Source organism: Homo sapiens, chromosome 15, assembly GCF_000001405.40.
Source record: "Homo sapiens chromosome 15, GRCh38.p14 Primary Assembly".
In the NCBI taxonomy this organism is placed as follows: domain Eukaryota; kingdom Metazoa; phylum Chordata; class Mammalia; order Primates; family Hominidae; genus Homo; species Homo sapiens.
Window position 1 is genome coordinate 22,092,999 of NC_000015.10, and position 9,225 is coordinate 22,102,223.

Sequence of the window (9,225 nt, forward strand, 5' to 3'; positions counted from 1 at the left end):
TGCTCTGTCACCCAGGCTGGAGTGCAGTGGTACAATATGGACTCACTGCAACCTCCACCTCCCAGGTTCAAGCGACTCTCATGCTTCAGCCTCTGAAGTAGCTGGGACTACAGGCTCCTGCCACCACGCCCAGCTAATTTTTATATTTTTAGTAGAGTCAGGGTTTTGCCAGGCTGGTCTCGAACTCTTGGCCTCAAGTGATCCACCTGCTTTGGCCTCCAAAAAGGGTGGGATTACAGGTGTGGGCCACAGTGCCTGGCCTAGGTACTTCTTTCATAATTCCCAATTCTGACCATACCTGAAAACCTCTGCTATTAATTAATATATTAGGATTAGATATATTTTGAAAAGCATATCTTTTGATGTTTTAAATAGATGTGCCATTATAAATATTTTCTTTGATTTCTTAATTCGGGACTTTATTGTTTTTGTTTCCCTCTCTTCTTACACACCGACTCCTCATTCAGTTAGTTAATGAACCTCTTTCCCTCTACGCTTCATAGTCCACATTATTTTAAAACAAATGTGCTGTGTAACAGAAGCATATGAAATATTTTTCTGTATCACATTGTAGTATTTTGTTCTAGCTCAAGATCTTTAGCTTTTAAATTTTTTTATTTCAACCACAAACCATTTTTTGAACATGCACCAAAAACATACGTATCTTCTTTATGCATTTCATATCCAATTACATCATGATTCTATATAAATGTAAAATGTTCAAAAATAAAACTTCAAACAATAGGATACAATAATGTAAGTGTAGAAATTCTCCTATTATTGCTTTCATACCAATAAATTATCATGCACATCCCCAAGCATGAGCACAGTCTCAATTTGGAAGCCACTGTACAGAGAAGCCTCAGATCTTGTTTTCTCCAGAGTGACTGAGAGCTTTTTATTTAGACCAGTTCATTTGGTTGATGTTCTATAGAGAAAAGGGAATTATTTCTGGTAAGTACAGTTGCCTTTATAAAAGTTTTTAGATAAACATTCCTAAGGTAGCATTTATATAAAATAAATTGTACTAATTGCTGTATAGTTCAATACTCAATAAATTTTGACAAAAATAGATACATATAACCATTATAATTAAAAACGGAACATTTCTGTCCCCTTGAAAAGTTCTGTCATTCTTCTTTGCTGTCAATCCCAGCTCATCTTCCATTCAAAGCAAAACATGAAGTCCTCAATAACTGGGGTTAAGTTTTTTCTCAGTCAGAAAAATTTTCATATGCCTCATACAAATCAGGAACAAATTCAGAGCAGTAACATCCAAGTCTCACATGAGTGAACACTTAAACAGAAGCACAGGACTGAAACAGAAGAAAGAGTGTGGCTTCAGGACCAGGGTGTTGGCTATCATGAAATGAGGAAGCATAAACAGTAGAAGTGATTTCTTAGGTTGTTGAGATAGATAGAATAATATAAATGTGGCATACCTTGTGTTTAGTTCAAGAACTATAATCTAGATGTAACACCTGAAAATAAACTCTTTTATTGATATTCTACAGGCAGAAGAAATGAAGATAGCAAACAACACAGTAGTGACAGAATTTATCCTCCTTGGTCTGACTCAGTCTCAAGATATTCAGCTCTTGGTCTTTGTGCTGATCTTAATTTTCTACCTTATCATCCTCCCTGGAAATTTTCTCATTATTTTCACCATAAGGTCAGACCCTGGGCTCACAGCCCCCCTCTATTTATTTCTGGGCAACTTGGCCTTCCTGGATGCATCCTACTCCTTCATTGTGGCTCCCAGGATGTTGGTGGACTTCCTCTCTGAGAAAAAGGTAATCTCCTACAGAGGCTGCATCACTCAGCTCTTTTTCTTGCACTTCCTTGGAGGAGGGGAGGGATTACTCCTTGTTGTGATGGCCTTTGACCGCTACATCGCCATCTGCCGGCCTCTGCACTGTTCAACTGTCATGAACCCTAGAGCCTGCTATGCAATGATGTTGGCTCTGTGGCTTGGGGGTTTTGTCCACTCCATTATCCAGGTGGTCCTCATCCTCCGCTTGCCTTTTTGTGGCCCAAACCAGCTGGACAACTTCTTCTGTGATGTCCGACAGGTCATCAAGCTGGCTTGCACCGACATGTTTGTGGTGGAGCTTCTAATGGTCTTCAACAGTGGCCTGATGACACTCCTGTGCTTTCTGGGGCTTCTGGCTTCCTATGCAGTCATCCTCTGCCATGTTCGTAGGGCAGCTTCTGAAGGGAAGAACAAGGCCATGTCCACGTGCACCACTCGTGTCATTATTATACTTCTTATGTTTGGACCTGCTATCTTCATCTACATGTGCCCTTTCAGGGCCTTACCAGCTGACAAGATGGTTTCTCTCTTTCACACAGTGATCTTTCCATTGATGAATCCTATGATTTATACCCTTCGCAACCAGGAAGTGAAAACTTCCATGAAGAGGTTATTGAGTCGACATGTAGTCTGTCAAGTGGATTTTATAATAAGAAACTGAGAAGGAGGAATTCTGGCTGGAATTCATATCATTCATTTAACAAGTCCTGTTTTTCACTGAGTACCTCCCATTTGCCAGGTACCATTGTAGGCAATGGAGGAGAGTTATGCATAATGAGAGAATAAACTTATTATATTTAAAGAATATAAAGGAAACCCCAGAGTGGTTGAAGTATAATGAGTAAGTGTGAGAAATTTAAGGGTTAAGTTTTATGTGACTGCAAGGGTCTTTCGGTCTGAGGTAAGAATTTTTTCATATTTTAATTGTGGTAAGAACCCATTTTAATGTTTTAAGCAAAGGAGCAGTTCATCTACAATGCTTTCCTCTACTGGTTAGAGCAACATCAGCAAGATTTTAGGCAGAGATTAATAAACTGTAAAATATCAAAAACCAAATGTATGTTGCAAGTATGTTATGAAAAAGACTATAGTATTTTATATATATAAATATATTAAAATTATATATATTTTAATGTTTTTATATATATTTTATATATATGTATATTTACATATATATAAAATAAGTAATATATTTTTATATATTTATAAATATATATTTTTATATATTTATAAATATATATTTTTATATATTTAATCAATATATAAATAAATATATATTTCCCCCCCAAAATTTGGTGGCGAGATAAGAAAGGAAGCCAATTTGTTTCATGGTAAAATGTCATGAAATTATTTCACTTATTTTTTCTTCAGAGCTTCACGATGATTATTAGACATTATTAGATATTTAGTACTTCAGATTGTATTACAGATTACATAAATCACTCCAGTTATTTTCAACATAGTGAAGCAGCTTCGTTGTCTGGGGAAATACCTGCAGTTCGTTGTCTTGTGCTGTGCCGATTAATGACACAGACTCACACACGGAGTGGGTTAAGGAACAGAAAGTTTATTAGGCAAGAAGGAAGAGAAGAGCTTCCCCATACAGAGGGAGAAGCACTCTGAATGGAGTAACCCCACTTGTGGGGAAAGCAGTCAGTTATATTGGGAGGCTCAGGGAGGTAGTGTCTGATTTGCATAGGGCCCAGGGGATTCCTTTGACCAGGTGTGTCATTCACACAACCCATGAAAAGACTGGCCCTCCCACCCTAATCTTTTATTCTGCAAATGCGGCTTCTACCTGGCTGTCACCATGATGCCTGCACATGTGGCTTTACTTGGCTGGTGCCATGACAACTGCACATGTGGCAACAAAGGAAAGTGAGCGGGAAGAGTCATATTGAGTGGACCTGGCTGTTAGCCACCTGCATTTACTTCTGCAAGCCTGTAATTTACATACCTATGCTTCCAGCATGGCTTTTCAGGCTGCTTTCTGTTAGAAAAGAAATGGTTTGGGGGCTGCTTTTTTATTAAAAGGAAAAGCCTTTCTGAGGACTCTTTTACCCTTTCTAGCTGCCTAAAAATAATTTCTTAATAACTCCTGTATTAATAGTGGGGTCTAATGTGAGAAATTAGGTACTTATAAAATTTTTCAAGTATAGAAGACCATTATTTATGCTGGGCATCTATTATAGAAATTGTTACCAGAAAAACACTGTAGAACTAACCTGCTAAGTGACCTATCCCTGCCATAACCAGGAGACTGAGAGGACAAGAAACCACTTTCCCAGCTCTTGGCTCAGGGAACACATCAATCAGCCATGGTCTGGCATGAAGAGAATTGTAGAGAGCACCTCTCATGTTATTGTCTCTCTAATTATTTTTTCTAAATTAAATTTTGTATGAGTATATTTGATAGAATCTGTAATGGTAGTGGCAAAAGTCTTTGACAAACCTGTCTGTGTGTTGACAGCTTCTTCAGAAAGCAAACAAAAATGGTGGTAAAATATAGGATAAAAAGTTTGCAATCTTGGAGGTGAGAAAGGCCATTGAAGTTTGACAAAGAAAATGAAAATAAAAAGATGTATTAAATCTTGATATCTGCTACATATTTTGATATGTAAAAATGAAAAAAGTTTATATGGGCAAAAGGCAGAAAAACGCTGAAAATATTTCTATGGCATATAGATGTGGAGATTATTTTCTGCATGATTATAAGGTTTGCATGTAAATTGAATATTTTTTCCCTACTCCAAGATTGTATGAGAGGGCATCCATGAATAAAAATTAAAATAAAAATTACTAAAAATCGATATAAACGATAAAAATTTATCTAATACATAAATAATTTGCTTAAATGAATATGAAATAGGTACATAGAAGGAAATGTGGGCAATGAACAAAGGAAAAAAACGAAAAGGCTTATAAGCATGAAAGTAAGCTTACCCTTAAAAATCAACCACAGAAATGAAAACCACTGATTTTGATTAGCATGTAGGATAATGTTGCTCATGTATTATCAATAAAAAAGTACAGAATAGGGTGAGGTGCCAGAAGCAGCTATCATGTGCCACTCATGGAGAGGGAGACAGGGTGGTGAGTAAACACTAGCTCTTCACATGGATCGTCCATGAGGCCATGTTAGGATTCATCAAGGAAGCAACTGCAATCGATGGACAGCAGAAAGGGGCCAGGCAGGAAAGCAGTCCACCCAGGATTGGCATAGAGCCAGGTGAGGCTCCCTACCATAGGGAAAGGGTGAATAAGAACCTCCTGGGACCCACACTTCTGCCATGGGCCTCTGCAATCCTGGCACAGGAGATCTCCCGTGACCCCGAGGGGCTTCCAGACCAACACAGAGAGATTACTGGAGTCTGGGCAGAGCTGCAGCTAGGGTCACCTGGAGCCCCATGAGCCGTGGGGCCCTGAGCACCTTGGTGCCAGCTGCCATAGCCACACCAACAAGGGAGGCCAGCTCTCTCGCATGCCCCTAGAATAGGGGCTGCATCCACGGTGCTGAGGAGCAGACTGACCGCAGGCCCCGCTTGCTTCATCAAGCCAGGCAAAGCCCACTGGCCTGGGTCGCCCACGCAGCCACCCCACTCCCACCTGAGCACTCAGGCCAGTCAGGCTCTCCATTTCTTTGGAAAGGAACTCCCAGAGGTAACCAATAGGCCTGAGATTTCTGGTACTGTGGTCTCCCACATGCCGCCCTCAGGCTGGGGAGGGATCGAAGAGCGCAGGAACTATCCTAGACCTTCAGCAAGGCATACGAACAGCTGTCATACGGAAAAGTGGCCAGATTATTTTCCACTTGGGTCCCTGTCCCAGCTACTCCTCACTGGGCAGGGCCTCCGAGCCTGGGGTCCCAGCACAGCTACCCCACCCCCACCCGTTCTTTCATTTGGCGGTGGCCCTAAGTTTCTCTGGGGTAGAGCTCCCAGAGACAACCGGCAGGCTCTGTGCCACCACTAGCTGAGTGTAAGGTCCTTCCTTGCTCCCCGCAGGCTAGGTAGGGAACAAAGAGCCTGACTGCAGCTGTCCTAGGGAGAGAAGGCCAGATTGTCTTCCTTGCGAGCCCCTGACCCCGGCTACTCTTCACCAGACACGGCCCGGCTTTGGCCCACAACACAGCCGCCCCACCCCTGGATCCTTCACCTTAGCAGTAGCAGTAGCTCTGGGTGGAGTTGCCAGAGGCAGCTGACAGGCCCTCTGCCACTGCTGCCACCCCCAGGGCTAGGGAGGGAACAAAGAGCCTGCTTGCTGTGCTTGCACATCCAGCATGCCACAGCTGCACTACGGAGAGGAGGTCAGACAGTCCCCCCAACAAGCCCCCGATCCCTCTGCTCTCCACCAGGGAGGGCCCTGGGCTTGCGCCCACAGCACAAACGTCCCATCCCGGGCTGATCATTCTGGTTGGCAGCGGCTCTGAATTTCTCTGGGGTGGAGTTCCCAGAGACAACTGACAAGCCCTCTGCCACCGACACCGCCAAGGTCCCCTTCCCTGCTCCCCCAAGCAGGGGAGGGAATAAAAAGCCCGAACTCGCCCCAGGTCCAACACCAGAGCGGGAAGAGAAACCCACACTCCCAGAGCACCGAGAGGGGTAACCGCATGAGTTCCTGGGCTGCTGTGGGAGCGGGGCGCGCCTCCCTCTGCAGGAGGAGCCTGGAAAAGGTGTGGCCTATCTCCCTGCGGTGGCCTCTGCCTGAGGGAGCCCCGCAGCCTGGAACACCTAGCAAAAGAAATGATGGTGCAGTGCTAGTGATCGGAGGGGGTTCCCCCAAGGCTCAGGAACTGACCTGGTGAGGGGGTCACTTCTTTCCCCGCTGTACGGGAGACCAGGCTGTAGATGTGAGGAAGTACAAAGGAACCACAGGCCTGAGCAAGAGTGTATTTACCGTCCATTACTCTTAAGCGACATCTACTGGATTGCAGCCAAAACTGCTACAACACCAAAAATATTTTGCTAATATCCCCCAGTGAAATCAAAGGCAAGAATCCAGCCACAAATAAAGACCCTGCACAAAGCCTTGGCTATCTGAAAACATTCAGAAACAAAGCCAAGTGACTATACTCAAATTACACCACAGGTAAAGGAACGCCAATGCTTCCAGATGAGAAAGAATCAGTGCAAGAACTCTGACAATTCAAAAAGCCAGTTTCCCCATACCTCCAGATGAGTCCACCAGACCCCAAGCAATGATTTTTTTTATTTGCTTTCCTTATTTGTTTGCTTGTTTGGAGATACCTTTTACTTTTTTAATTTTAATTTTTTAATTTTTAGGTTCAGTTATACATGTGCAGATTTGTTATATAGGTAAATTGCTTGTCATTGGGGTTTGGTGAACAGATTTATCACCCAGGTAATAGGCATAGTACCTGATAGGCAGTTTTCTGATCCTCACCCTTTTCCCACAGTCCAATCTCAACTATGCCCAAGTATGTATTGTTCCCTTCTTTGTGTTCATGTGTATTCAAGGTTTATCTCAAATTTGTAAGTAAGAACATGTAGTGTTTAGTTTTTTGTTCCTATGTTGGTTCACTCAGGAAAATGGCCTCCAGCTCCATGCATGTTGCTGCAAAGGATATGATCTCATTCTTTTTATGACTGCATAGTATTCCATAGTATATTTGTACCATATTTTCTTTATCAAGTTCACCATTGATGGGCATCTAGGTTGATTCCATGACATTGCTATTGTGAATATTGCTACGATGAAGGTACTTGTGCATGTGTCTTTATGGTAGAATGATTTATATTTCTTTGGGTATATGCCCAATAATGGGATTGCTGGGTTGAATGCTACTTTGGTTTTAAGTACTTTGTGAAATCACCACACTGCTACCCATAATGGCTGAACTAATTTATATTCCCACCAGCAATGCATAAACATTCCCTTTTCTCTGCAAACTTGCCAGCATGATCTATGATTTTTTGACTTTTTAATAATAGCCCATCTGACTGGTGTGAGATGGTATCTCATTGTGCTTTTGATGTGCATTTCTCTAATGATTAGTGATGTTGAGCATTTTTTTTCATATGCTTCTTGGCCAAGTGTATGTCTTATTTATTTTTTTTGAGATGCAGTTTCACTCTTGTCACCCAGGCTGGAGTGCAATGGTGCAATCTCGGCCCACTGCAACCTCTACCTCCTGGGTTCAAGAGATTCTCCTGCCTCAGCTTCCCCAATAGCTGGGATTACAGGCACCTGCCACCATGCCTGGCTAATTTTTGTTATTTTTAGTAGAGATGGGGTTTCACCATGTTGGCCAAGCTGGTCTCGAACTCCTGACCTCAGGTGATCCACCCGCCTTGGCTTCCCAAAGTGCTGGGATTACCGGCGTGAGCTACTGCGCCCAGCCTTGACTACTCTTTTTTTTTTTTTTTTTTTTTTTGATGGAGTCTCACTCTGTCACCAGGCTGGAGGGCAGTGGTGCGGGCCCGGCTCACTGCAACCTTTGCCTCCTGGGTTCAAGCAATTTTCCTGCCTCAGCGTCCCGAGTAGCTGGGACTACAGGCGTGCATTTGCAAATACTTTAACCTATTCTATAGGTTGTCTGTTTACTCTGTTGATAATTTATTTTGCTGTGCAGAAGCTTTTTAGGTTAATTAGGTCACATTTATTAATTTTTGCTTTTGTCATCTTTGTCATGAAATCTTTGTCAGGGGCTATGCTGAGAATGGAATTTCCTAGGTTGTCTTCCAGGGTTTTTATAGTTTGGGGTTTCACATTTAAGTCTTTAATCCAGTTGGATTGATTTTCATATATGGTATAAGGGAGGGGTTCAGTTTCCATTTTTTGCATATGGCTACCTAGTTATCTCAGCACCATTTATTGAATAGGGAGTGCTTTTCCCATTGCTTGTTTTTGTCAGCCTTGTTGAAGATTAGATGGTTTTTGTTTTTAGTTCTGTTTATGTGGTGAATCACATTTACTAATTTGCGTATGCTGAACCAACCTTGTGTTCCAGGGATAAAGCCTACTTGATTGTGTTGGAGTAGAGTTTTAATGTGCTGCTGGATTCAGTTTGCTAGTATTTTCTTTTTTTCTTTTTTTTTTTGCTAGTTTTCTTTTTTTGTTGTATCTCTGCCAGGTTTTGGTATCAGAATGATGTTGGCTTCATAGAATAAATTAGGGAGGAGTCCTTCCTCCTCAAATTTTCAGAATAGTTTCAGAGGAAAGGTACCAGCTCTTCTTTATGCATCTGGTAGAACTCAGCTGTGAATTCCTCTGATCCTGGGCTTTTTCTGGTTGGTAGGCTTTTTATTATTAACACAATCTTGGAACTTGTTATTAGTCTGTTCAGAGTTTCAGTTTCTTCCTAGTTCAATCTTAGGAGGTTGTATGTTTCCAATAATTTATTAATTTCTTCTAGTTTGTGTGCATAAAGTTGTTCATAGTAGTCTCTGAGG

The 9,225-nt window shown here is 42.1% G+C and overlaps 1 protein-coding gene and 1 long non-coding RNA gene across 3 annotated transcripts in view, besides 1 other annotated feature; both read left to right on the plus strand.

The window, feature by feature from the left end:
- OR4M2-OT1 (OR4M2 overlapping transcript 1) overlaps nt 1–2,620 on the plus strand; it is a 105,539-nt gene extending 102,919 nt beyond the window's left edge. For both annotated transcript variants that reach the window (NR_110480.2, NR_110481.2), the window contains 2 exons: nt 1,515–1,793; nt 2,353–2,620. This is a non-coding gene — a long non-coding RNA (OR4M2 overlapping transcript 1). The remainder of the gene's footprint in view (nt 1–1,514; nt 1,794–2,352) is intronic.
- Nucleotides 1,152–2,351: an enhancer, noted in NCBI's record as "BRD4-independent group 4 enhancer chr15:22382101-22383300 (GRCh37/hg19 assembly coordinates)". NCBI's record gives its function as "activates an origin of replication core promoter dependent on BRD2, P300/CBP, MED14 and CDK7 cofactors, and independent of BRD4, by STARR-seq in HCT116 cells {active_cell/tissue: HCT116}" and the evidence as "EXISTENCE:reporter gene assay evidence [ECO:0000049][PMID:35650434]".
- On the plus strand, nt 1,524–2,864 carry OR4N4 (olfactory receptor family 4 subfamily N member 4). The gene has a single exon (NM_001005241.4). It carries the CDS (start codon nt 1,524–1,526, stop codon nt 2,472–2,474), a length of 951 nt encoding a protein of 316 aa, NP_001005241.2. The 3' UTR covers nt 2,475–2,864.
- The last annotated feature ends 6,361 nt before the right edge of the window (nt 2,865–9,225 follow it).

Excerpts from the sequence above, each read along its gene's own strand:
- OR4N4 (NM_001005241.4), top strand. The coding sequence starts at position 1,524 with ATGAAGATAGCAAACAACACAGTAGTGACAGAATTTATCCTCCTTGGT.